The sequence below is a fragment of the Homo sapiens genome, chromosome 17 (genome assembly GCF_000001405.40).
Source record: "Homo sapiens chromosome 17, GRCh38.p14 Primary Assembly".
In the NCBI taxonomy this organism is placed as follows: Eukaryota; Metazoa; Chordata; class Mammalia; order Primates; family Hominidae; genus Homo; species Homo sapiens.
The window spans coordinates 63,870,574-63,897,890 of record NC_000017.11 but is presented as its reverse complement, the minus strand read 5'-3'; the positions used below and the strand labels follow the sequence as shown (position 1 = coordinate 63,897,890).

The window sequence follows — 27,317 nt, the reverse complement described above, 5'->3', positions numbered from 1 at the left end:
AGCGATTCTACCTCCTCACCCTCCGGAGTAACTGGGATTGCAGGCTTCTGCCACCACACACAGCTACTTTTGTATTTTTAAGAGATGGAGTTTTGCCATGTTGGCTAGTCTGGCCTTGAACTCCTGACCTCAAGTGATCCACCCACCTCAGTCTTCCAAAGTGCTGGGATTACAGGCATGAGCCACCATGCCCGGCCTGGAGAAAGGACTTTAAATGACGCAATGTGGGAAGAGCCAGGTTGTGGAGATCTGCTGCCCTGGCTGAGGTAGCTCATGCAATCAGTCTCTCTGAGCCTCAGTCTCCTGATCTGTGAAATGGGATGATACTCATACCTCCTACACAAGACAAGTTGCAGGTCAGACGTGAGAATGCACAGGCAGGCCTTTGACAACTGGATAAGCTCTACACAGGTCTGGAAAGGAGGAAGAGACAAAAGAGGACGGGCTTCCATGGCTGGATAGGGCCTCTTTCGGCGTGATGTGTTCTGAGTTTTAAAGCTGGGGAAGAGACTCAAATCTTCAAGAGCTCTTCCAACTTTGAGATTCTCTGTTGGTTTCAGGACTATGGGAGGAAGCGCTTGTGGTCCGTGTCTGTTCCCGGGATTTCTGTTTCTTGGTTTGTATCTCTGCTTCAGGTCCAAGGAGCTGGGGCAATACCTTGAGTCTGGGTTATTCATCCCCAGGGACCTGGGGGAGCCCCACCGCCTCCGCCCCAAGGTTCAGGGAAAGGGGAGAGCAATGTGTGGGGTTGGTTCTCTCTAGTGGTCAGTGTTAGCACTGCATCCAGCTGACTCAGGTGGGCCCAGGAGTCATCAGCAAAAGTGGAATTCAGGACTCAATGGTGCTCAGAACCCCCACAATCTATTGGCTGTGCTTGGCCCCTTTTCCCAACACACACATTCTGTCTGGTGGGTGGAAGTTAAACACGCGGGGAGGAGGAAAGGAATAGGATAGAGAGTGGAATGGGGTCGGTAGGGGTCTCAAGGACTGGCTATCCTGACAGCCTTCCCCGCGTTCAGGTTGACCAACATGGCCTGCAGCCAGAGGGCACCCACCTGACCCTTAAAGAGAGGACAAGTTGGGTGGAGTCTGTGGCTGACACTCTGTGCACAATCCTTACAACACTGGTGATGGTGAGAAGGGAAAGACGACAAGCCAGGGGGCATGATCCCAGCATGTGTGGGAGGAGCTTCTAAATTATCCACTAGCACAAGCCCGTCAGTGGCCCCATGCATAAATGTACACAGAAACAGGTGGGGTCAAGCAGGGAGAGAGAACTGGCCAGGGTATAAAAAGGGCCCACAAGAGACCGGCTCTAGGATCCCAAGGCCCAACTCCCCGAACCACTCAGGGTCCTGTGGACAGCTCACCTAGTGGCAATGGCTCCAGGTAAGCGCCCCTAAAATCCCTTTGGGCACAACGTGTCCTGAGGGGAGAGGCAGCGCCCTGTAGATGGGACGGGGGCACTAACCCTCAGGTTTGGGGCTTATGAATGTGAGTATCGCCATCTAAGGCCAGATATTTGGCCAATCTCTGAATGTTCCTGGTCTCTGGAGGGATGGAGAGAGAGAAAAAAAACAAACAGCTCCTGGAGCAGGGAGAGCGCTGGCCTCTTCCTCTCCGGCTCCCTCCATTGCCCTCCGGTTTCTCCCCAGGCTCCCGGACGTCCCTGCTCCTGGCTTTTGCCCTGCTCTGCCTGCCCTGGCTTCAAGAGGCTGGTGCCGTCCAAACCGTTCCCTTATCCAGGCTTTTTGACCACGCTATGCTCCAAGCCCATCGCGCGCACCAGCTGGCCATTGACACCTACCAGGAGTTTGTAAGTTCTTGGGGAATGGGTGCGGGTCAGGGGTGGCAAGAAGGGGTGACTTTCCCCCACTGGGGAAGTAATGGGAGGAGACTAAGGAGCTCAGGGTTGTTTTCTGAAGCGAAAATGCAGGCAGATGAGCATAGGCTGAGCCAGGTTCCCAGAAAAGCAACAATGGGAGCTGGTCTCCAGCATAGAAACCAGCAGTCCTTCTTGGTGGGGGGTCCTTCTCCTAGGAAGAAACCTATATCCCAAAGGACCAGAAGTATTCATTCCTGCATGACTCCCAGACCTCCTTCTGCTTCTCAGACTCTATTCCGACACCCTCCAACATGGAGGAAACGCAACAGAAATCCGTGAGTGGATGCCGTCTCCCCTAGGCGGGGATGGGGGAGACCTGTGGTCAGGGCTCCCGGGCAGCACAGCCACTGCCGGTCCTTCCCCTGCAGAATCTAGAGCTGCTCCGCATCTCCCTGCTGCTCATCGAGTCGTGGCTGGAGCCCGTGCGGTTCCTCAGGAGTATGTTCGCCAACAACCTGGTGTATGACACCTCGGACAGCGATGACTATCACCTCCTAAAGGACCTAGAGGAAGGCATCCAAACGCTGATGGGGGTGAGGGTGGCGCCAGGGGTCACCAATCCTGGAACCCCACTGGCTTCGAGGGCTGGGGGAGAGAAATACTGCTGCCCTCTTTTTAGCAGTAAGGCGCTGACCCAAGAGAACTCACCTTATTCTTCATTTCGCCTGGTGAATCCTCCAGGCCTTTCTCTACACCCTGAAGGGGAGGGAGGAAAATGGATAAATGAGAGAGGGAGGGAACAGTGCCCAAGCGCTTGGCCTCTCCTTCTCTTCCTTCACTTTGCAGAGGCTGGAAGACGGCAGCCGCCGGACTGGGCAGATCCTCAAGCAGACCTACAGCAAGTTTGACACAAACTCGCACAACCATGACGCACTGCTCAAGAACTACGGGCTGCTCTACTGCTTCAGGAAGGACATGGACAAGGTCGAGACATTCCTGCGCATGGTGCAGTGCCGCTCTGTGGAGGGCAGCTGTGGCTTCTAGGTGCCCGAGTAGCATCCTGTGACCCCTCCCCAGTGCCTCTCCTGGCCCTGAAGGTGCCACTCCAGTGCCCACCAGCCTTGTCCTAATAAAATTAAGTTGTATCATTTCATCTGACTAGGTGTCATTCTATAATATTATGGGGTGGAAGGTGGTGGTATGGAGCAAGGGGTAGGTGGAAAGAAGACCTGGAGGGCCTTCAAGGTCTATTGGGAACTAGGCCACTGAAATATAAGAGGTTTGGCTGTTCCTGGGCCAGAAAAAAGCTGACACATCACTGCTGTCTATTACTCACTAAGGCCATTCCACCAGCTCAGTGGTCCCAGCTTGCTGGTCACAGCCCATTGGTCATCTCAGAGATGACTTGAAGGCATTTCTTCCTCCCCCACCATCACCAGCAACACCAAACCTAGCCCCCCAGGAGCGGAAAGAAATGAAAACAAGATGGGCTATTAAGTGCAGAGGCAAAAACTCCCCAACAGGTGAGGAAACAATGGCATAGAATTACTTGTGTTCGGAAGAATTTTAAGATGAGTATTCCTTAAGCCCAACTACTCTCGGGAAATGAGAACAATGCAAAAATGAGTTTGAGACATACAGAACCAGAGCATTTGGAATCTGAATTAGGGCAAGGGAAGTGGAAGAGAGATTTTATTTGGGGTTGTAAATGCAGTGCCAACAGGTTCCAGGTAGATAACAATGTAAGCAATGAGGGCTGGATGGGAGGGGATAAATCCCAGATGACACTCACTTCCCTTCGGGGGATGCAACACAGAGGGGTGGGAACCAGCACAATCTGCAGAACTCAGGCCCCTGCTGAGGTGGGACCCACCCAGCCTGTCACCATCAGGACTGCAGGGACACGGCTTCCAGACCTTCTGACCTTTTGAGACAGCCAGGACATCCAGACTTTTACAGGAATTCTAACATTTAAACACTGGCAACACATATTGAAAATCTTTTAAGGGCAAAAATTAACCGAAACACACATGGTCTCCAAGCTGTCTGTGAGCAATTTTGTTCTAAGAGATGTTGATTGGGGTAACTTGGTGTAAGGGAAAGAATCAGAAAGATTTGGGCTGTATGTAATTTAGTGCCCCCGAATAAATTACTTGACCAAGCTGAGATAATAATATATTGCTTTACAAGGATTATGTGAGGACTAAATGCAATGGTATTTTTGATATATTATAGTACTCAAGAAATTCTAGCTATTTCTGCATTGAATTTTTGGATGTTTTGTGTTTTCTGATGGAGTGTCTAAATACCTGTAGTGAAATTATATTGTTTTCCTAATGACAATTAGGAAATAATAAACATCTCAGATGTTTATTATTTCCAAATAAGCACTAAAGAGCGGTGGTTAGTTAAGAGTTTGCTCTCCCAAGCACCTTGGCTAAGTGACTGGTGACCTATAAATCGATGCTAAGATGCTCACAGGAACTCTAGTATCCAAAAATGATTTCATAAAGTCAGGAATTGTTTTGCAATGCAAATAATCAACCCCCCAATTAATCTTCTTTAGAAGTTCGATTCTTAAATGCTATAATGAATTTTCTTGATAATGAGACCCACTTGTATTCATTTTTGGCTATTTTACCATTAATAACTCAGTCCTTGGGAAGTGGTTGAAAGTTGAACTAAACAGAATTCTGGAGCTGCTGCATTTCTCAGCTCAGAAGCCATTCCTGCATCTTGCATTGTTCTTCTACTATCGGGCTTTAAAATTATGGCATTTTGGAGTTAGAAGGGCCTCATAAGTCAGCCTAGTTTCTTCTACTTTGGGAATCTTATCCTACAACATCCATTACAGTCAGTATTCCATTTACGAGTGTGTAGCACTAGAACCAAGGGAATCACTTTCACAAGGCTCCTCATTCTATTAAACCACTCTCATTGCAAAAAACTATTTCTTGCACGAAGCTGGAATCAATATTCCTGCAATGTCCTTCATTTGGCCTTAAAATTATTTAGAAATCTCAGTCTTTAGAAGTTGATGGAATGAGCACAATTATAATTATCTCTCGGCTTGCGTGTTTTAAAAGGAAATGTGAGCCATCTTAATAAGTATTTGTTGAATGCACGTGACAGTGGAATGACAATGTCCAGCGCCTACTTGGGTGGCTAAGAGGGTTCTAAAGTGGGGTGGTCATAACATGTAACTGAACTGCAGGGGGAGCCACACTCCAGAGACTGTCCACCCAGCTCCCCTCGGGTATAGGAAACTCCACTCAACCACTGCTGGTTGAGAATTAGAAAGATACTACCAACTTTGCACATTTTAAAATATAAAAAGACCTTAAAGACCATCTACTTTAAACTCTTTGATTTACCCACTGTTAGTCTACATTTCAGCTCATCAACTTGGTGTGGACAGCAATTTCCGCTGCAAATTTGAGATGCCTAGGGTGTTTTCTAAACGATGCATTCGTGAGCCCTCACTCCCTGAGATTCTGATATAATTAGACTGGAATGTGGTCCAGGCAAGAGTAATTTGAAAACTTTCCCAGGTGATTCTAACATGTAAACAAGGTTGAGAACCACCGTGTTAGGGACCGCAAAGATGAGACCCATGTGTTCACAGCTGTTGTACTGGTGGAACAGGGAAAACAGAGAAAAAGGAGATGAGAAAAAGGAGAAAAAGGAGATGGCAGTTGTGGTGCCACCTGCTCCTAATTCCAACCAGTCATCTAAAAGTGTTTATCGTGAGCCAGTCACAAAAAGACAAATACTCTCCGATTCCAGTCAGATGAGGTACTCAGAGCAGTCAAATTCATAGAGACAAAAAGTAGGATGGTGGCTGCCAGTGGCTGTGGGGAGGGATGGAATAGGGAGCTATTTAATGAGCACAGGGTTTCAGCTGTGCAAGATGAAAAGGGTTCTGGAGATGGTTGGTGGTGAGGGTTGCATGACGATGTCAATGTACTTGACATGACTGAACTGCACAGGCAAAATGGTTAAGATGGAAACGTTTATATCTTCTCACAACTAAAAATTGTTAATAGTTTCTTTTTGTTTTGTTTTTGTTTTTGTTTTTGAGACAGAGGCTGGAGTGCAGTGGTGGGATCTTGGCTCACTGCAACCTCCGCCTCCTCCCAGGTTCAAGTGATTCTCATGCCTCAGCCTCCTGAGTAGCTGGGATTATAAGTGTGCACCACCACACAGGGCAGATTTTTGTATTTTTGGTAAAGACAGGGTTTCGCCATGTTGGCCAGGCTGGTCTCAAACTCCTGGCCTCAGGTGATCCACCCACCTTGGCCTCCCAAAGTGATAGGATCATAGGCAGGAGCCACCAGGCCTGGCCCTTAATGGTATTTTCTATCGAAAACTCTTCCTGAAGATAAGATTAGTGAGACTCGCACAGGGAAGAGTTCAGCAGGCAGAGCTCCAGTCATCCTTGACCCCTGGCATAATGTTTTACTGACTCTGTCATTTTTTTTGAATTTACCCTAACCTAAAGTGACCAATTCTGAATTTCTTCCATGAGCATTGTCGAAATACACATGGTGGGTTTTGTCCCTTTATACACAGTTGAGAGCAGAACTGACCCCTTCCCTTTTCTTCTGAATTACAGGGTCTGGGCTTCTAGGCCAAGACAAGCTGACATTTTGCCTGGCTGCTTCTTTAATTCAGAAGGCCCTGAAGTGCTGTGGCACACAATGAGCACCGCTGGGATTAGGGTTACCAACTCGTCCTAGTTTGCAGGAGACTTTCTCAATGTCAACACTGAAAGTCCCACGTTCCTTCCAGGGATCCCTCAGCTGAATGAACACTCAGCTAACAGGACTGGTCACCCTATTAGTAGTCCTAAATCTTAGGGTACCAAACTGTGGGGAAAGTAGGGGAAGGAGCAAGAAAAAGACTAGAAAAACCGGAAAGCTGTGCTCGGTGTATATGACCTTTGATGGCCCTCATGGTTATCATGGATTTCTGATTCTTGCTTTGAGTTTACTGTGATTATAAAGATGTGCTTAATTACCACTAGAATTATCAGTGTAATAATAAAAAACAACTAATGTGAACACATATCTCCAGCACCATGCTAGTTTATTACATGTATTGTGTCATTTCTTTCTAATTATAATTCTCTAAGGTAAATACTATTATTAATCCTATGGTAAGAAGTCCCACTAACGATGTAACTTATGCTTTCTCAGGTCTAGAGAGAAAGACACCAGAATGTCACCCTGACCATCCTTGAGAGGATAAACGGCCAGGCACGGTGGCTCACGCCAGTTATCTCAGCACTTTGGAGGGCTGAGGCGGGAGGACGTCACAAGTTCGAGACAAGCCTGGCCAACATGGTGGCACCCCGTCTCTTACTAAAAATACAAAAATTACCAGGTGTGATGGTGCACACCTGTATTCCCAGCTACTGAGGCGCGAGAATCACTTGAGCCCAGGAGGCAGAGTTGCACTGAGCCCATCATGCCACTGCCCTCCAGCTGGATGGCTGAGCAAGATTCTCTCTCAAAAATAGTAAGAAAGAGGGTAAACTTTTGGAGTATTAAAGGCCACTCTTCCTCTGGAGATAATCAAGGTAGCTGCAATTTAAGCATAAGCTGGTTGCTTTAATGTTCAGAAAGAATATGATCAAAACCATTTAGAGGGTGGGGCCTCCTCTTATAGACAATGAGGCAGCTACCCTTAGAAGCTCTATTATACTGGAAAAGAGATATGAGACCCTTCCTACTTTAAGAATCAATGAAGCCGGGTGTGGTGGCTCACGCCTGTACTCCCAGCATTTTGAGAGGCCAAGCTGGGCAGATCACCTGAGGTCAGGAGTTTGAGACCAGCCTAGCCAACATGATGAAATCCTGTTTCTACTAATAACACAAAAATTAGCCGGGTGTGGTGGCGCACATCTGGAATCCCAGCTACTCCAGAGGCTGAGGCAGGAAAATTGCTTGAAGCTGGGAAGCAGAAGTTGCAGTGAGCCGAGATTGTGCCACTGCACTCCAGCCTGGGAGACAGAGCGAGACTCTGTCTCCAAAAAAAAAAAAAAAGAAAAGAAAAAAAAGAATCAATGAGAAGGGGCTGCCTGCCTGACCACTGGTTGTGTGGATCCTTCGGGAAGGAAAGCGAACAGAGGTTCCAAGTCTACAAGGGAAACAGCCCAGCCTACTCTGAAGAGCTTTGCGGGACGGCTCATCCAAACTACTGAGCTCTAAGAACTGGAACCCTGGAAACCCCAGCAAGAGGACACCCGCAGCTGGACCAGGCCCCGAAGAAGCAGATCATCCTCCCTCAGAGATCCACAGCAGCTGGGAACCCGGATCTGCAGACCCGCTTGGTTTGAGGGTACTGTGTGGGACCATCTGTCAACACTGACACCCTGTGGCAGTGAGAAGCAAAGGCAGCAGCCGGCTAAGCCTCCAGGATCTCCCTGCTGGAACTAGAAAGTCCAAGTGGCCCCCTTCTTCCCTCTTTTTTTTGTTTTGTTTGTTTTGTTTTTTGTTTGTTTGCTTTTGTTTTTGTTTTCTTCAAGATGGGGTGTCACTCTGTTGCCCAGGCTGGAGTGCAATGGTGCAATCTTGGCTCACTGCAACCTCAGTATCCCGGGTTCAAGCGATTCTTCTGCCTCAGCCTCCCCAGTAGCTGGGATTACAGGTGCACACCACCATGCCTGGCTCATTTTTCCCTTCCTTTTTGGATTCGCTGTGCTTCAAGGCACTGAGGCCATGAGGCAGGGTTTGCAGATACAGGGTAACTACAGCCCTGATGCGACTGATCCTGACACCAAAATGGCTGTGGATCCCTGCATGGTGTGGCTGTATACTCCTGTCTCTTAAACCTGCTTCTTAACTTACTTCCCCAAATGCTCAATTCAGGGAAGGTGGATGATTTATATTAGACTCACATGATGAAGGAGCAGTAGCTCCACCTAGTGGAAACATTGAGGTTGAAAAGTTCATGTTCGGGGATGATGCTATTTTACAAAGTCAAGATATTTCGTGTCCCTCCGGGAAGCCTTCCTTGATCCGAGTTATGCTTTCTCTTAACAATCTGTTTTCCCAGTCATAGGAGTTCATGCACAAATGTAATCTCCTACTTGTTTGTCTAGCTTTCCTAATATATTTTTGGAAGCCAGGAACAATGTTTTGTTCACCACTGTATCCCCACTGCCTTGTATGTGGTGAAACCAAAGGGTTACTTTTACACTTAATCTATAGCACCAGACTCAGGGGAGGTCTGGGAAGAATGGGAAAACGTTTTCCCTCTGCTGTCTGATGCCATGGTTTTTTCTAGCTGGTATCTGCAATTTGGAAGGCTATGGACCTCTCTCTATCTGGAAGTCTGACCTTTAGCTTTCATTTTTGTTCCTTTATTTTGCTTTTGAGACAGGGCCTGGCTCCGTTGCCCAGGCTGGAGTGCAGTGCATGATCTCAACTCGCTGCAACCCTCCACCTCCCGTGCTCAAGTGATCCTCCCACCTCAGACTCTCAAGTAGCTGGGACTACATGCATGTGCCACTATACCTGGCTAAGTTTTGTGTTTTTTGTAGAAATGGGGTTTTGCCATGTTGCCCAGGCTATTCGCAAACTCCAGGGCTCAAGTGATTCACCTGCCTCAGCCTCCCAAAGTGCTGGGATTACAGGCGTGAGCCACCACACCAGCCTGAATTTCAGTTTTGAAAGCAGGTCAAATAGGCTGCTGCCCTCAGTTAATGCACCCCCGGCCCTGGGCTGGTTGTTTATGCTATCAACACGGTATTTTTTCCTTAGAAATTGTACTTAAAGTTATAAAATGCAGCCGGGAGTGATGGCTCAGGCCTGTAATCCCAGCACTTTAGAAGGCCGAGGTGGGTAGATCACGAGGTCGGGACTTCAAGATCAGCCTGGCCAAGGTGGTGAAACCCTGTCTCTACTAAAAATACAAAAAATTAGCTGGTCATGGTGGTGGGCGCCTGTAATCCCAGCTACTCTTAATCTATAGAGGCTGAGGCAGAGAATTGCTTCAACCCGGGGGTGGAGTTTGAAGTGGACCGAAATCACACCACTGCACTCCAGCCTAGGCAAAGAGCGAGACTCCATCTAAAAAAAAAAGTTATAAAATGCAGCCATTTGACATAAGAGCTTTTAGCAATGACACAGAAGGGAAGGGAACTGCATTTGGACATCATAAAACCACTTTTATTTTTACCATAGCAACATTCCAGTGAACATTTCTTGACTGATTTGGGAGAAAACATCTGGTTCTGTGATTCCTCACGCCTTCTCCGAGGGTGAATATACTCTTTCTCAAGGACAGGGAAAGAAGCTGAAACATAAAATCATATGAACATTTTCACAAGAAGATTCCTCTTGAAGCTTCAAGGAAATTGTTTACAGACAGAAGAAAATATGCACTTATTGATGAAAAGGGAGAGTAAAGATTGGAACTTTAACCTAGATGCCCATATGGGTAAAAAAAAGAAAACTGGCAAATGCGAACTCACAGTTGATCACTCTATGAAAAGGAATTCAGAGATGTTTGGAGCTCTTAACCTATGAGGCCAATTTCATGGAAGAACTCTACCTTCTCCTTCAGAGACAGAATACTGAGCTAGATAGGATGCCCGTCTGGCCCAAAGTGGAATTTCTTACCATCTGTATACTCCCCCAAGACCCGCAACAGATGGTTACTGAGTTGAAGCTTGCCACTGATCCTTAATGATGTCAACAAGCTCAGCTCTGGGAGCTGGCCCTCCAGAAGCCCAGGTCAGGGGAGCAAGGGAAAGTGGAGATAGGAACAGAGCTCTGATTCCTGGCCCCATATTTGATACTTACTCCCTTCAAAGTCCTGTCCTTGGACTACAGATTTAGTTCCCAGTTAGTAATCAGAAAACCATGAAATATGAGTTGTATTTCTAAGATATGCCTGACTTTAGTATGATGTTTAAGAGAAAAGGGCAGTGAGAACCATGAAGAAACGGCAAGATCTTTTCTTTTTTTTTTTTTGGATCTAAGAGTGGACTGATGATGCACCTGGCAAGGAGCAAGAGGCCTTCTTACAAATCAAACATTGAGACTGAGATTCCTAATGAATAGAGTGAGCTCTAAAGAGAAAGGTGGCTGGGCGCGGTGGCTCACACCTGTAATCCCAGCACTTTGGGAGGCCAAGGTGGCCGGATCACTTGAGGTCAGGAGTTTGAGACCAGCCCAGCCAACATGGTGAAACCCCATCTCTACGAAAAGTACAAAAATTAGACAGGCATGGTGGTGTGCACCTGTAATCCCAGCTGCCAGGGAGGCTGAGGCAAGAGAATCACCTGAACCCGGGAGGCTGCAGTTGCAGTGAGCCAGGATCGCATCATTGCACTCCAGCCTAGGCGACAACAGCAAGACTCCATCTCAAAAAAAAAAAAAAAGAAAAAGAAAAAGAAAAGAAAAGAGAGAGAGAGAGAGAATGGTGAGCTTGTGGACATATTGGACACACAGGACATGGGGCATGGGGGCCTGAAACACCGTTTTACAGGACAGACGTACACAAAGGGGAATGCAGCCTGCCATTGTGTTTCTTCCTTTCTCCTCTATCCCTTCTTCCCTCCCTGGGAAACCACAGTAGCAGAAGTCTCATTCAATCAAACAGTTGTCAATTATATGAGTTGTACTTTTCTCTTCCTGAACAGCAAACTGGCTTTCCTCCTCTTTGTCCTCCTCTTTCTGCCTATAGAGCAATTTCCTCCTGTCCACTTTGCAGGGCCGATAGCTCAAATACAGTGCTATGGTGATGACACCCACTCCAAGGGCAACGGTAATAATGACAAAGAGGGTAGAGCTTATTCCTTCATCCAGTCCTGCCCAAGCACAGAAGATAGAGTTAGGAAAGTCTGAGAGTACAAGGATCACCCACCCCAGCCCACCAGGCCCACTTCTGAGTCTCATTCTTCCCAACCTAGTAGAATCTTTCTTATTTTCATGCTTAGATAAGAATCCCAAACCCCTGAGGGGTTTCCATCCTGGGCCTGGCAGCAGGGCAGCAAAGGTTACCTTGAACAATGACAGCAATGTCTTTGCTGACAGAGCCCAGCTGGTTAGTGGCTGTGCAGCGGTAGGTTCCAGTGTGGTTCTGGGTTGCCTTCTGTGGCACTTCAAGGTCAAAGACCACCCCATTCCAGGTACACACCAAGGCTGGAGCTGGGTTTCCCTTTGGGACGCAGGTGAGCGTGTGTTCCATCCCTTCCAGCCAGGTCTGTTTGGCAGAGCAACTGGATTCCTCTAACCGTGGTTGGTCTGCAGAAACAGTATCCCAAGGAGCTGAGTTCAGTGCACCACACTCCCTCCCTACTTCACCCCCTGCTCCCTCTCCTCCCCTCACCCAAATGCTGTCCCCTCCACCCAACAGCTTTCCTTCCCAAGGGAGCACTAGCAGCTCCCTGCTTTGAGCCAACTCTTCTTTCCCACTTTCCGTATGGGCAGGGAGTCCCAGATGAAACCTAGGGTGTTCTTATGGATTTGGACTAAATGATAACCCTGCTCTGTCCATGGTGGCCCTGGGGCCCCTGCTTCCCATGTTTGTTTCTCGGTGGGTAAGGAGCTAGGTAACAGTGAACTCAGAGATGAGGATTTTTCTACTTTTCTTTTTGGTTTTTTTTGGTTGTTTGTTTGTTTTGGAGACAAAGTCAGTCTCACTCCTTCGCCCAGGGTGGAGTGCAGTGGCGCGATCTCGGCTCATGACAACCTCTGCCTCCCAGGTTCAAGCAATTCTTGTGCCTCAGCCGCTCCAGTAACTAGGATTACAAGCGCATGCCACCACACCCGGCTAATTTTTCTATTTTTAGTAGAGATCAGTTTCACCATGTTGGCCACGCTGGTCTCAAACTCCTGACTTCAGGTGATCCACATGTCTCAGCCTCCCAAAGTGTTGGGATTACAGGCATGAGCCACCACGCCGGCCTATCCTGAGCCTTTTGAAGCTGACGCCAGAGGTGCAAAGCGCAGCCTCTCCCCATTGGCCATGTGGAGGCTCTTGTTGGGTACTCTCTCAGCCTGCAGGAGCCAGGGATCTGGCCTCAAGTGATGCCCCAACAGTGGGCGACCTCCCAGTACTGTCAGGGGAATCCCAAGTCTAATTCAAAGATGATTTTTTACTAGCAATGAATGATGGATGTGGTCTCCATTGCTCAAGGCTCTGGGAAGATCTAGACTAGAGAAAATGATCATTGACTTCTACCCACACCTGTGGGCCTCAGTTCTTCCCTCTGGTCCATGGTTACCATGGTAATCCCTTATAAAGGTGTTTCCCCAGGGGTCCCTAGAGTCCTCTGAGTCACCATAATTCTGGGGTCAACAGAAGTGGAGAGGTGAGAGGAGACACTCCCCTGCCCCGGCTGGTCCCACGTGTTGCTGTCAGTAACCTGCCTGGGGAGCCTTGCCACCCCTGTGCCCACCTGCGGAGTTATGCAGTGGTCCCCAACTAGGGCCCCTGCCACCCTCATTCCTAAGGGAGGCTGGAGACTTCTTCCATGGCCGAAAATCCACATCGAAGTCCCCAGAACTGGCTAAAAGGACCTGTCATGGGGGCTCCCTGTCCCAGCTGACATTGGAGGAAGGATGGTGGGGGAGGCAGAAAGCTACATGGAGCTCAGGGACCCTCTTCCATTCCCACCTAGCTCCTCCTCTTTGCTGGTGCTGGAAGGAGCAGGGGAAAGTGGTGACTCCACCCTCCCTTGGCCACATATTTCTCAGAGCTGGTATCATTGATGACACCCCTCTTGGATCCTCACACAGGCGGGCCTGGAGAACAGCCCACAGCACAGTGCCCTCCCAGCAGGTGATGAGTCTGGGGTGCTGGTCCGATAATGTTTCAGGAATGATGGCAGAAAATGGAGCTCTGTTTTCTGCTCTGAAAGTGGGGAGATGGCAGGGCCCCAGCATTCACATCCTAGGCCACAGGGGTGTGGGTTTTCAATGTTGGTTGCCAACACCACAGCCAACCACTTCTGGAAGCATTTGCTTGTTTGCTTGCTTGTGTTTCTACAGAGTCAAGTGCTAGATGCTCTTAAACTCAGGGGGGAAGATTTCACCACTAGAGAGGGTGCTCTTTCCTGCTCTCATCTCTGGGGGTATCTGATGCTTGTGACCTCCAGATTATATTGAAGTAGCCCCAACCCTGGGCACCAGGAGACAGGAGGCTCAGTCCTGGCCTTCTCTGCCTTCACCTTGTCCTGCTCTGAGGTTTCCACAAGGCACCCCATGCCACTGGGCCATTCTCACCTGAGAATTGAGAAAGAACAATCTGCCCCTTATGGAAAGACAAAATGAGGCAAAGGGCCCCTTGTGTTGGGGGCAGGATCCCTGCACTCAGAGGGATATAGAAGCTGAAATAACTGGGTTGGGAGCAGTGGCTCACGCAAGTAATCTCAGTACTTTGGGAGGCCAGGGAGGGTGGATCACCTAAAGTCAAGAGTTCGAGACCAGCCTGGCCAACATAGTGAAACCCCCGTCTCTACTAAAAAAGTGCAAATCTTAGCCCGGCATAGTGGTGGACGCCTGTAATCCCAGCTACTTGGGAGGCTGAGGCGGGAGAATCACCGGAACCCAAAGGTGGAGGTTGCTGTGAAGCAACATCATGCCACTGAACTCCAGCCTGGGTGACAGAATGAGACTCCATCTCAAAAAAAAAAAAAAAGGAAATGAAGCTAAAATAACTAAATAACTGAGTAGCACCACACTACGTGCTATGGAGAAAGGATTTTTTTTTTTTTTTTTTTTGAGATGTAGACTCGCTCTGTCATCCAGGCTGGAGTGCAGTGGCGCAATCTTGGCTCACAGCAACCTCTGCCTCCTGGGTTCAAGCGATTCTCCTGCCTCAGCCTCCCAAGTAGCTGGGATTACGGGCTCGTGCCACCATGCCCAGCTAATTTTTGTATTTTTAGGAGAGATGGAGTTTTGCCATGTGGGTTAGCCTGGTCTTGCACTCCTGACCTTAAGTGATCCACCCACCTCAGCCTCCCAAAGTGCTGGGATTATAGGCATGAGCCACCGTGCCCGGCCTGGAGAAAGGACTTTAAATGACGCAATGTGGGAAGAGCAAGGTTGTGAAGATCTGCTGCCCTGGCTGAGGTAGCTCATGTAATCAGTCTCTCTGAGCCTCAGTCTCCTGATCTGTGAAATGGGATGATAGTCATAGCTCCTACACAAGACAAGTGGCAGTTCAGACGTGAGAATGCACAGGCAGGCCCTTGGCAACTGGATAAGCTCTACACAGGTCTGGAAAGGAGGAGGAGACAAAAGAGGAGGGGCTTCCATGGCTGGATAGGGCGTCTTTTGGCGTGATGTGTTCTGAGTTTTAAAGCTGGGGAAGAGACTCAAATCTTCAAGAGCTCTTCCAACTTTGAGATTCTCTGTTGGTTTCAGGACTATGGGAGGAAGCGCTTGTGGTCCGTGTCTGTTCCCGGGATTTCTGTTTCTTGGTTTGTATCTCTGCTACAGGTCCAAGGAGCTGGGGCAATACCTTGAGTCTGGGTTATTCGTCCCCAGGGACCTGGGGGAGCCCCCCCCCCACCCCTCCCACACCCACACCCACCCCCACCCCCACCCCCATCCCCACGCCCCGCCCCCGCCCCCGCCCCAAGGCTCAGGTAAAGGGGAGAGCAAAGTGTGGAGTTTGTTCCCTCTAGTGGTCAGTATTAGCACTGCATCCAGGCGGGCCTGTCTCAGGCGAGCCCAGGAGTCAGCAAAAGTGGAATTCAGCACTGAATCATGCCCAGAACCCCCGCAATCTATTGGCTGTGCTTTGGCCCCTTTTCCCAACACACACATTCTGTCTGGTGGGTGGAGGGGAAACATGCGGGGAGGAGGAAAGGAATAGGATAGAGAGTGGGATGGGGTCGGTAGGGGTCTCAAGGACTGGCTATCCTGACATCCTTCTCCGCGTTCAGGTTGGCCACCATGGCCTGCTGCCAGAGGGCACCCACGTGACCCTTAAAGAGAGGACAAGTTGGGTGGTATCTCTGCTGACATTCTGTGCACAACCCTCACAACGCTGGTGATGGTGGGAAGGGAAAGATGACAAGTCAGGGGGCATGATCCCAGCATGTGTGGGAGGAGCTTCTAAATTATCCATTAGCACAAGCCCGTCAGTGGCCCCAGGCCTAAACATGCAGAGAAACAGGTGAGGAGAAGCAGCGAGAGAGAAGGGGCCAGGTATAAAAAGGGCCCACAAGAGACCAGCTCAAGGATCCCAAGGCCCAACTCCCCGAACCACTCAGGGTCCTGTGGACAGCTCACCTAGCGGCAATGGCTGCAGGTAAGCGCCCCTAAAATCCCTTTGGGCACAATGTGTCCTGAGGGGAGAGGCGGCGTCCTGTAGATGGGACGGGGGCACTAACCCTCAGGTTTGGGGCTTATGAATGTTAGTATCGCCATCTAAGCCCAGTATTTGGCCAATCTCTGAATGTTCCTGGTCCCTGGAGGGAGGCAGAGAGAGAGAGAGAAAAAAAAAAACCCAGCTCCTGGAACAGGGAGAGCGCTGGCCTCTTGCTCTCCAGCTCCCTCTGTTGCCCTCCGGTTTCTCCCCAGGCTCCCGGACGTCCCTGCTCCTGGCTTTTGGCCTGCTCTGCCTGTCCTGGCTTCAAGAGGGCAGTGCCTTCCCAACCATTCCCTTATCCAGGCTTTTTGACAACGCTATGCTCCGCGCCCGTCGCCTGTACCAGCTGGCATATGACACCTATCAGGAGTTTGTAAGCTCTTGGGTAATGGGTGCGCTTCAGAGGTGGCAGGAAGGGGTGACTTTCCCCCGCTGGGAAGTAATGGGAGGAGACTAAGGAGCTCAGGGTTGTTTTCTGAAGTGAAAATGCAGGCAGATGAGCATACGCTGAGTGAGGTTCCCAGAAAAGTAACAATGGGAGCTGGTCTCCAGCATAGACCTTGGTGGGCGGTCCTTCTCCTAGGAAGAAGCCTATATCCTGAAGGAGCAGAAGTATTCATTCCTGCAGAACCCCCAGACCTCCCTCTGCTTCTCAGAGTCTATTCCAACACCTTCCAACAGGGTGAAAACGCAGCAGAAATCTGTGAGTGGATGCCTTCTCCCCAGGTGGGGATGGGGTAGACCTGTGGTCAGAGCCCCCGGGCAGCACAGCCACTGCCGGTCCTTCCCCTGCAGAACCTAGAGCTGCTCCGCATCTCCCTGCTGCTCATCCAGTCATGGCTGGAGCCCGTGCAGCTCCTCAGGAGCGTCTTCGCCAACAGCCTGGTGTATGGCGCCTCGGACAGCAACGTCTATCGCCACCTGAAGGACCTAGAGGAAGGCATCCAAACGCTGATGTGGGTGAGGGTGGCACCAGGGATCCCCAATCCTGGGGCCCCACTGGCTTCCAGGGACTGGGGAGAGAAACACTGCTGCCCTCTTTTTAGCAGTCAGGCGCTGACCCAAGAGAACTCACCGTATTCTTCATTTCCCCTCGTGAATCCTCCAGGCCTTTCTCTACAACCTGGAGGGGAGGGAGGAAAATGGATGAATGAGAGAGGGAGGGAACAGTGCCCAAGCGCTTGGCCTCTCCTTCTCTTCCTTCACTTTGCAGAGGCTGGAAGATGGCAGCCCCCGGACTGGGCAGATCTTCAATCAGTCCTACAGCAAGTTTGACACAAAATCGCACAACGATGACGCACTGCTCAAGAACTACGGGCTGCTCTACTGCTTCAGGAAGGACATGGACAAGGTCGAGACATTCCTGCGCATCGTGCAGTGCCGCTCTGTGGAGGGCAGCTGTGGCTTCTAGCTGCCCGGGTGGCATCCCTGTGACCCCTCCCCAGTGCCTCTCCTGGTCGTGGAAGGTGCTACTCCAGTGCCCACCAGCCTTGTCCTAATAAAATTAAGTTGCATCATTTTGTTTGACTAGGTGTCCTTGTATAATATTATGGGGTGGAGGCGGGTGGTATGGAGCAAGGGGCAGGTTGGGAAGACAACCTGTAGGGCCTTCAGGGTCTATTGGGAACCAGGCTGGAGTGCAGTGGCACGATCTTGGCTCGCTGCAATCTCCGCCTCCTGGGTTCAAGCGATTCTCCTGCCTCAGTCTCCCGAATAGTTGGGATTCCAGGCATGCACGACCAGGCTCAGCTAATTTTTGTATTTTTGGTAGAGACGGGGTTTCACCATATTGGCCAGTCTGGTCTCCATCTCCTGACCTCAGGTAATCCGCCCGCCTCGGCCTCCCAAATTGCTGGGATTACAGGTATGAGCCACTGGGCCCTTCCCTGTCCTGTGATTTTAAAATAATTATACCAGCAGAAGGACGTCCAGACACAGCATGGGCTACCTGGCCATGCCCAGCCAGTTGGACATTTGAGTTGTTTGCTTGGCACTGTCCTCTCATGCATTGGGTCCACTCAGTAGATGCTTGTTGAATTCCTGGGCCTGGGGCTGTGTCAGCTGCCTCATCCCATCACCTTCTGGCTTATTCTCTCCCTCCGTATCTTAGCTTTTTACTTCATGGGAATGTTTCCAATTCGAAATTTCTATTTTACCGTTATATATTTACTTTTTTGCTGTTTTCTCGGCCCCCAGTAGATTGTTAGCTCCAGAAGAGAAAGGATCATGTCTTTTGTTTATCTAGATATGCCCATCTGCCTGGTACAATCTCTGGCACATGTTATAGGCAACAACTACTTGTGGAATTGGTGAATGCACGAATAGAAGAATGAGTGAATGAATGAATAGACGAAAGGCAGAATTCCAGCCTCAGGCAGGGCGCGGTGGCTCACGCCTGTAATCCCAGCACTTTGGGAGGTCGAGGCAGGTGGATCACGAGGTCAGGAGTTCGAGACCATCCTGGCTAACACAGTGAAACCCCACCTCTAAAAATACAAAAAAATTAGCTGGGCAAGGTGGCGGGTGCCTGTACTCCCAGCTACTCGGGAGGCTGAGGCAGGAGAATGTCATGAACCCCAGGGGGCAGAGCTTGCAGTGAGCCGAGATCGCGCCACTGCACTCCAGCCTGGGTGACAGAGCAAGACTCGGTCTCAAAAAAAAAGAAAGAAAGAAATCCAGCCTCAAAGAGCTTACAGTCTGGTAAGGGGAATAAAAATGTCTGCAAATAGCCACAGGACAGGTCAAAGGAAGGAGAGGCTATTTCCAGCTGAGGGCACCCCATCAGGAAAGCACCCCAGACTTCCTACAACTACTAGACACATCTCGATGCTTTTCACTTCTCTATCAATGGATTGTCTCCCTGGAGAATAATCCCCAAAGTGAAATTACTTAGCACGTCAGGTTAGGTAGATCCTTGTGTACTTCTTGGTTGTTCAGAGATCATCAACCAGTGCAAACAATCCCCCCATCAATACACAGCGGTGCCTGCCCCTTGCCTCCCCAGACCTTCCGAGGCCCTTCCTCCGTGCCTGAACCCCCTGGACATATCATGTGGCAAACTGAAGGGTCCAACGACATACAGGAAGCGAAACACGATGTACACTGAAATGTGCAATACAAATATGCAGCATGAAGTGCCTCGGTTCACTAACCCGAGCTACGTTGGGTGCCTCTTTTCTACCACTTTTCTTAATGCCTATGGACACCTCATTCTGTGGCTGAAGTTCCTTGTGTTCAATTCCCCCCATCTTCATTGAACATCCTCTGTGCAGGGACTTGACCCCTGTCCTGCTAGCTTTGCACTGAGGCAAGTTCTGTCCATGCCTATTAGTGCCACCATCTTTACTAGATGAGGTTTCTAAAGAGCTTGGCATGGAAGGAAAGCCCAGGGGCCTTGGAAGCCATTACTTAGGAACTGGGAGAGCTCCAGGCAAACCATCTTATCTCTTTGGGCCTCAGTATCCTCACTCACATCCCTATGGTCAGTAGAGTGCCAAGCACATGGTGGACACACAGAAGTATTGATCATCTTCCTCACCTCCCCTAGGAGAGCCCTTGGGAATCCCCATATAATATTCTCTGAAGACCTCAATCCAATGAGCCGAGTAATTGACTCAGTAGCAAACTCATAGAAAGGACATTAGAAGCCAAAAGGAGGTAGAGTATGTCCCAGTACAATAACCAGCCTCTGATCTCAAGGAAGAAAGAACAGAGCTGCAGGTGAGAAGTGTGCGCCTCAAATCACCAAAGTGAGAGTGGAAGGAGCACCCACCAGTCCCTCGGAGGCGATTCCTGAGACCGGTGAGAATGGCTTCGAAAAATGTGATCGTCCTCAACCCCACAGTCTTGAACCTAACAGGAGATCTTGAAGCCTGAAAGACACCACTTTAGGATCAACAGCAGATCTGTGACTTTCCACAGCAGGCACACAGAACCCTAGAGTTAGTCGAGGTTGGACATAGGAAGGGCTTCCAAACACACAGATAAATTCATGGATCCTAAATTATAAAGGGAGGTTCCTTAAAAGAAGCAAGATGATTGTGAGATTATCATCAGCTTTTTTTTTTCTCTTGATACAGAGTCTTACTCTGTCACCCAGGCTGGAGTGCAGTGGCATGATCTCGGCTCGCTACAACCTCCACCTCCCGGGTTCAAGCAATTCCCTGCCACAGCCACCTGAGTAGCTCGGATTACATGCGCCTGCCACCACGCGCAGCTAATTTTTGTATTTTTAGTAGAGACGGGATTTCACCATCTTGACCAGGTTGGTCTTAAACTCCTGACCTAATGATCCACCCACCTTGGCCTCCCAAAGTGGTGGGATTACAGGTGTGAGCCAACGCACCCGACCTATCCAGAGCCTTTTGAGGCTGATGCTAGAGGTACAAAGCCCAGCCTCTCCCCACTGGCCATGTGGAGGCTCTTGTTGGGTAGTCTTTCAGCCTGCAGCAGCGAGGGATCTGGCCTCAAGTGATGCCCCAACAGTGGGCAACTTCCCAGTACTGTCAGGAGAATCCCAAGTCTAATTCAAAGTTGATTTTTTACTAGCAATGAATGATAGACATGGTCTCCATTGCTCAAGGGAAGATCTAGACTAGAGAAAAGGATCACCAACTTCTACCCACACCTGTGGGCCTCAGTTCTTCCCTCTGGTCCATGGTTGCCATGGTAACCCCTTATAAAGGTGTTTCCCCAGGGGTCCCTAACGTCCTCTGAGTCACTATAACTCTGGGGTCAACAGAAGTGGAGAGGTGAGAGGAGACACTCCCCTTCCCTGGCTGGTCCCACATGTTCCTGGCAGTAACCTCGGCACCCCTGTGCCCACCTGTGGAGTTATGCAGTAGTCCCCAGCTAGAGCCCCTGCCCCCCTCATTCCTAAGGGAGGCTTCCCTTACGAATGGCCAAAAATCCACATCTAAGTCCCCAGAACTGGCTAAAAGGTCCTGTCATGGGGGCTCCCTGTCCCAGCTGACATTGGAAGAAGGATGGTGAGGGAGGCAGGGACCCTCTTCTACTTGGAGCTCAGGGACCCACTTCCATTCCCACCTGGCTCCTCCTCTTTGCTGGTGCTGGGAGGAGCAGGGGAAAGTGGTGACACCACCCTCCCTTGACCCCATATTTCTCAGAGCTGGTATCATTGATGACACCCCTCTTGGATCCTCACACAGGCTTCCCTGGAGAACAGCCCACAGCACAGTGCCCTCCCAGCAGGTGATGAGTCTGGGGTGCTGGTCCGGTAATGCTTCAGGAATGATGGCAAAAAAAGGAGCTCTGTCTTCCGCTCTGAAAGTGGGGAGATGGCAGGGCCCCAGCATTCACATCCTAGGCCACAGGGGTGTGGGTTTTCAATGTTGGTTGCCAACACCACAGCCAACCACTTCTAGAAGCATTTGCCTGTTTGCTTGCTTGTGTTTCTACAGCATCAAGTGCTACATGCTCTTAAACTCAGGGTGGGAGAAGATTTCACCACTACAGAGGGTGTTCTTTCCTGCTCTCATCTCTGGGGGCATCTGATGCTTGTGACCTCCAGGTGGTATGGAAATAGCCCCAACCCTGGGCACCAGGAGACAGGAGGCTCAGTCCTGGCCTTCTCTGCCTTCACCTTGTCCTGCTACGAGGTTTCCACAAGGCACCCCATGCCACTGGGCCATTCTCACCTGGGAATTGAGAAAGAACAATCTGCCCCTTATGGAAAGACAAAATCAGGCAAAGGGCCCCTTGTGTTGGGGACAGGATCCCTGCACTCAGAGAGATTTAGAAGCTGAAATAACTGGGTTGGGGGCGGTGACTCACGCCATTAATCTCAGTACTTTGGGAGGCCAGGGAGGGTGGATCACCTAAAGTCAAGAGTTCGAGACCAGCCTGGCCAACATAGTGAAACCCCGTCTCTACTAAAAAAGTACAAAACTTAGCCCGGCATAGTGGTGGGCACCTGTAATCCCAGCTACTTGGGAGGCTGAGGCGGGAGAATCACTGGAACCCAGGAGGTGGAGGTTGCAGTGAGGCAAGATCATGCCACTGCACTCCAGCCTGGGAGACAGAATGAGACTCCATCAAAAACAAGAAAGAAAGAAAGAAGGAAGGAAGGAAAGAAGGAAGGAAGGAAGAAAGGAAGGAAGGAAAGAAAGAAAGAAAGAAAGAAAGAAAGAAAGAAAGAAAGAAAGAAAGAAAGAAAGAAAAAGAAAGAAAGAAGGAAGGAAGGAAAGAAGGAAGGAAGGAAGAAAGGAAGGAAGGAAAGAAAGAAAGAAAGAAAAAGAAAGAAAGAAAGAGAAAGAAAAAGGAAAGCAAGAAAGAAAAGAAAGAAAGAAAGAAAGAAAAAGAAAGAAGGAAAGAAAAGAAACTAAAATAACTAAATAACTGAGTAGCACCACACCACCTGCTCTGGAGAAAGGACTTTTGTTGTTGTTGTTGTTGTTGTCGTCGTTGTTGTGGTTGTTGAAATGGAGTCTCACTCTGGCGCCCAGGCTGGAGTGCCATGGCCCAATCTTGGCTCACGGCAACCTCTGCGTCCTGGGTTCAAGCGATTCTACCTCCTCACCCTCCGGAGTAACTGGGATTGCAGGCTTCTGCCACCACACACAGCTACTTTTGTACTTTTAAGAGATGGAGTTTTGCCATGTTGGCTAGTCTGGCCTTGAACTGACCTCAAGTGATCCACCCACCTCAGTCTTCCAAAGTGCTGGGATTACAGGCATGAGCCACCGTGCCCGGCCTGGAGAAAGGACTTTAAATGATGCAATGTGGGAAGAGCAAGGTTGTGGAGATCTGCTGCCCTGGCTGAGGTAGCTCATGTAATCAGTCTCTCTGAGCCTCAGTCTCCTGATCTGTGAAATGGGATGATACTCATACCTCCTACACAAGACAAGTGGCAGATCAGACGTGAGAATGCACAGGCAGGCCTTTGACAACTGGATAAGCTCTACACAGGTCTGGAAAGGAGGAAGAGACAAAAGAGGACGGGCTTCCATGGCTGGATAGGGCATCTTTCGGCGTGATGTGTTCTGAGTTCCAAAGCTGGGAAGAGACTCAAATCTTTTTTTTCTTTTTTTTTAATTATTATTATTCTTTTACTTTAAGTTTTAGGGTACATGTGCACAATGTGCAGGTTAGTTACATGTGTATACCTGTGCCATGCTGGTGTGCTGCACCCATTAACTTGTCATTTAGCATTAGGTATATCTCCTAAAGCTATCCCTCCCCCCTCCCCCCACCCCACAACAGTCCCCAGAGTGTGATGTTCCCCTGAGACTCAAATCTTCAAGAGCTCTTCCAACCTTGAGATTCTCTGATGGTTTCAGGGCTGTGGGAGGAAGCGCTTGTGGTCCGTGTCTGTTCCCGGGATTTCTGTTTCTTGGTTTGTGTCTCTGCTGCAGGTCCAAGGAGCTGAGGCAATACCTTGAGTCTGGGTTCTTCGTCCCCAGTGACCTGGGGGAGCCCCACCGCCTCCGCCCCAAGGTTCAGGGAAAGGGGAGAGCAATGTGTGGGGTTGGTTCTCTCTAGTGGTCAGTGTTAGCACTGCATCCAGCTGACTCAGGTGGGCCCAGGAGTCATCAGCAAAAGTGGAATTCAGGACTCAATGGTGCTCAGAACCCCCACAATCTATTGGCTGTGCTTGGCCCCTTTTCCCAACACACACATTCTGTCTGGTGGGTGGAAGTTAAACACGCGGGGAGGAGGAAAGGAATAGGATAGAGAGTGGAATGGGGTCGGTAGGGGTCTCAAGGACTGGCTATCCTGACAGCCTTCCCCGCATTCAGGTTGACCAACATGGCCTGCGGCCAGAGGGCACCCACCTGACCCTTAAAGAGAGGACAAGTTGGGTGGAGTCTGTGGCTGACACTCTGTGCACAATCCTTACAACACTGGTGATGGTGAGAAGGGAAAGACGACAAGCCAGGGGGCATGATCCCAGCATGTGTGGGAGGAGCTTCCAAATTATCCATTAGCACAAGCCCGTCAGTGGCCCCATGCATAAATGTACACAGAAACAGGTGGGGTCAAGCAGGGAGAGAGAACTGGCCAGGGTATAAAAAGGGCCCACAAGAGACCGGCTCTAGGATCCCAAGGCCCAACTCCCCGAACCACTCAGGGTCCTGTGGACAGCTCACCTAGCGGCAATGGCTGCAGGTAAGCGCCCCTAAAATCCCTTTGGGCACAACGTGTCCTGAGGGGAGAGGCAGCGCCCTGTAGATGGGACGGGGGCACTAACCCTCAGGTTTGGGGCTTATGAATGTGAGTATCGCCATCTAAGGCCAGATATTTGGCCAATCTCTGAATGTTCCTGGTCTCTGGAGGGATGGAGAGAGAGAAAAAAACAAACAGCTCCTGGAGCAGGGAGAGCGCTGGCCTCTTCCTCTCCGGCTCCCTCCATTGCCCTCCGGTTTCTCCCCAGGCTCCCGGACGTCCCTGCTCCTGGCTTTTGCCCTGCTCTGCCTGCCCTGGCTTCAAGAGGCTGGTGCCGTCCAAACCGTTCCGTTATCCAGGCTTTTTGACCACGCTATGCTCCAAGCCCATCGCGCGCACCAGCTGGCCATTGACACCTACCAGGAGTTTGTAAGTTCTTGGGGAATGGGTGCGGGTCAGGGGTGGCAAGAAGGGGTGACTTTCCCCCACTGGGGAAGTAATGGGAGGAGACTAAGGAGCTCAGGGTTGTTTTCTGAAGCGAAAATGCAGGCAGATGAGCATAGGCTGAGCCAGGTTCCCAGAAAAGCAACAATGGGAGCTGGTCTCCAGCATAGAAACCAGCAGTCCTTCTTGGTGGGGGGTCCTTCTCCTAGGAAGAAACCTATATCCCAAAGGACCAGAAGTATTCATTCCTGCATGACTCCCAGACCTCCTTCTGCTTCTCAGACTCTATTCCGACACCCTCCAACATGGAGGAAACGCAACAGAAATCCGTGAGTGGATGCCGTCTCCCCTAGGCGGGGATGGGGGAGACCTGTGGTCAGGGCTCCCGGGCAGCACAGCCACTGCCGGTCCTTCCCCTGCAGAATCTAGAGCTGCTCCGCATCTCCCTGCTGCTCATCGAGTCGTGGCTGGAGCCCGTGCGGTTCCTCAGGAGTATGTTCGCCAACAACCTGGTGTATGACACCTCGGACAGCGATGACTATCACCTCCTAAAGGACCTAGAGGAAGGCATCCAAACGCTGATGGGGGTGAGGGTGGCGCCAGGGGTCGCCAATCCTGGAACCCCACTGGCTTAGAGGGCTGGGGGAGAGAAACACTGCTGCCCTCTTTGTAGCAGTCAGGCGCTGACCCAAGAGAACTCACCTTATTCTTCATTTCGCCTGGTGAATCCTCCAGGCCCTTCTCTACACCCTGAAGGGGAGGGAGGAAAATGGATGAATGAGAGAGGGAGGGAACAGTGCCCAAGCGCTTGGCCTCTCCTTCTCTTCCTTCACTTTGCAGAGGCTGGAAGACGGCAGCCGCCGGACTGGGCAGATCCTCAAGCAGACCTACAGCAAGTTTGACACAAACTCACACAACCATGACGCACTGCTCAAGAACTACGGGCTGCTCTACTGCTTCAGGAAGGACATGGACAAGGTCGAGACATTCCTGCGCATGGTGCAGTGCCGCTCTGTAGAGGGTAGCTGTGGCTTCTAGGTGCCCGCGTGGCATCCTGTGACCGACCCCTCCCCAGTGCCTCTCCTGGCCCTGGAAGGTGCCACTCCAGTGCCCATCAGCCTTGTCCTAATAAAATTAAGTTGTATCATTTCATCTGACTAGGTGTCATTCTATAATATTATGGGGTGGAAGGTGGTGGTATGGAGCAAGGGGTAGGTGGAAAGAAGACCTGGAGGGCCTTCAAGGTCTATTGGGAACTAGGCCGCTGAAATATAAGAGGCTTGGCTGTTCCTGGGCCAGAAAAAGGCTGACACATCACCGCTATTACTCACTAAGGCCATTCCACCAGCTCAGTGGTCCCAGCTTGCTGGTCACAGCTCATTGGTCATCCCAGAGATGACTTGAAGGCATTTCTTCCTCCCCCACCATCACCAGCAACACCAAACCTAGCCCTCCAGGAGCGGGAAGAAATGAAAACAAGATGGGCTATTAAGTGCAGAGGCAAAAACTCCCCAACAGGTGAGGAAACAATGGCATAGAATTACTTGTGTTCAGAAGAATTTTAGGATGAATATTCCTTAAGCCCAACTACTCTCGGGAAATGAGAACAATGCAAAAATGAGTTTGAGACATACAGAACCAGAGCATTTGGAATCTGAATTAGGGCAAGGGAAGTGGAAGAGTGATTTTATTTGGGGTTGTAAATGCAGTGCCAACAGGTGCCAGGTAGATAACAACGTAAGCAATGAGGGCTGGATGGGAGGGGATAAATCCCAGATGACACTCGCTTCCCTTCAGGGGATGCAACACAGAGGGGTGGGAACCAGCACAATCTGCAGAACTCAAGCCCCTGCTGAGGTGGGACCCACCCAGCCTGTCACCATCAGGACTGAAGGGACACGGCTTCCAGACCTTCTGATTCTTTGAGACAGCCAGGACATCCAGACTTTTACAGGAATTCTAACATTTAAACACTGGCAACACATATTGAAAATCTTTTAAGGGCAAAAATTAACCCAAACACACATGGTCTCCAAGCTGTCTGTGAGCAATTTTATTCTAAGAGATGTTGATTGGGGTAACTTGGTGTAAGGGAAAGAATCAGAAAGATTTGGGCTGTATGCAATTTAGTGCTGCTGAATAAATTACTTGACCAAGCTGAGATAATAATATATTGCTTTACAAGGATTATGTGAGGATAAATGCAATGGTATTTTTGACATATTATAGTACTCAAGAAATTGTAGTTATTTCTGCATTGAATTTTTGGATGTTTTGTGTTTTCTGATGGAGTGTCTAAATACCTGTAGTGAAATTATATTGTTTTCCTAATGACAATTAGGAAATAGTAAACATCTGAGATGTTTATTATTTCCAAATAAGCACTAAAGAGCGGTGGTTAGTTAAGAGTTTACTCTCCCAAGCACCTTGGCTAAGTGACTGGTGACCTATAAATCGATGCTAAGATGCTCACAGGAACTCTAGTATCCAAAAATGATTTCATGAAGTCAGGAATTGTTTTGCAATGCAAATAATCAACCCCCTAATTAATCTTCTTTAGAAGTTCTGATTCTTATGTGCTATCATGAAT

General features: G+C 49.8%; 3 protein-coding genes across 8 annotated transcripts, besides 2 other annotated features; all 3 read left to right on the top strand.

The window, feature by feature from the left end:
• On the top strand, positions 1,317–2,973 carry CSH1 (chorionic somatomammotropin hormone 1). The gene is made up of 5 exons (NM_001317.6): positions 1,317–1,389; positions 1,656–1,816; positions 2,041–2,160; positions 2,254–2,418; positions 2,672–2,973. Exons 1-5 carry the CDS (start codon positions 1,380–1,382, stop codon positions 2,867–2,869), a joined length of 654 nt encoding a protein of 217 aa, NP_001308.1. The 5' UTR covers positions 1,317–1,379; the 3' UTR covers positions 2,870–2,973.
• Positions 15,382–15,431: a silencer, noted in NCBI's record as "silent region_8834". NCBI's record gives its function as "represses an Ori minimal core promoter by ATAC-STARR-seq in GM12878 lymphoblastoid cells {active_cell/tissue: GM12878}" and the evidence as "EXISTENCE:reporter gene assay evidence [ECO:0000049][PMID:35858748]".
• Positions 15,591–16,551: an enhancer, noted in NCBI's record as "H3K4me1 hESC enhancer chr17:61958700-61959660 (GRCh37/hg19 assembly coordinates)". NCBI's record gives its function as "activates a minimal SCP1, AML or CMV promoter by ChIP-STARR-seq in primed H9 embryonic stem cells {active_cell/tissue: H9 hESC(primed)}" and the evidence as "EXISTENCE:reporter gene assay evidence [ECO:0000049][PMID:30033119]".
• GH2 (growth hormone 2) lies at positions 15,947–17,676 on the top strand. 4 transcript variants are annotated; one of them, NM_022556.4, is made up of 5 exons: positions 15,947–16,099; positions 16,372–16,532; positions 16,788–16,862; positions 16,955–17,119; positions 17,373–17,676. In NM_022556.4, exons 1-5 carry the CDS (start codon positions 16,090–16,092, stop codon positions 17,568–17,570), a joined length of 609 nt encoding a protein of 202 aa, NP_072050.1. In that variant the 5' UTR covers positions 15,947–16,089; the 3' UTR covers positions 17,571–17,676. The 4 variants fall into 4 exon arrangements, with proteins under 4 accessions (NP_072050.1, NP_072052.1, NP_002050.1 ...); NM_022558.4 differs by having other exon boundaries at positions 16,743–16,862; positions 16,955–17,115; NM_002059.5 differs by having other exon boundaries at positions 16,743–16,862.
• Positions 17,677–24,161: 6,485 nt separating this feature from the next.
• On the top strand, positions 24,162–25,879 carry CSH2 (chorionic somatomammotropin hormone 2). 3 transcript variants are annotated; one of them, NM_020991.4, is made up of 5 exons: positions 24,214–24,286; positions 24,552–24,712; positions 24,937–25,056; positions 25,150–25,314; positions 25,568–25,875. In NM_020991.4, exons 1-5 carry the CDS (start codon positions 24,277–24,279, stop codon positions 25,763–25,765), a joined length of 654 nt encoding a protein of 217 aa, NP_066271.1. In that variant the 5' UTR covers positions 24,214–24,276; the 3' UTR covers positions 25,766–25,875. The 3 variants fall into 3 exon arrangements, with proteins under 3 accessions (NP_072170.1, NP_072171.1, NP_066271.1); NM_022644.3 differs by having other exon boundaries at positions 24,162–24,286; positions 25,150–25,879; NM_022645.2 differs by lacking the exons at positions 24,937–25,056; positions 25,150–25,314 and having other exon boundaries at positions 24,162–24,286; positions 25,568–25,879.
• Positions 25,880–27,317: the final 1,438 nt, after the last annotated feature.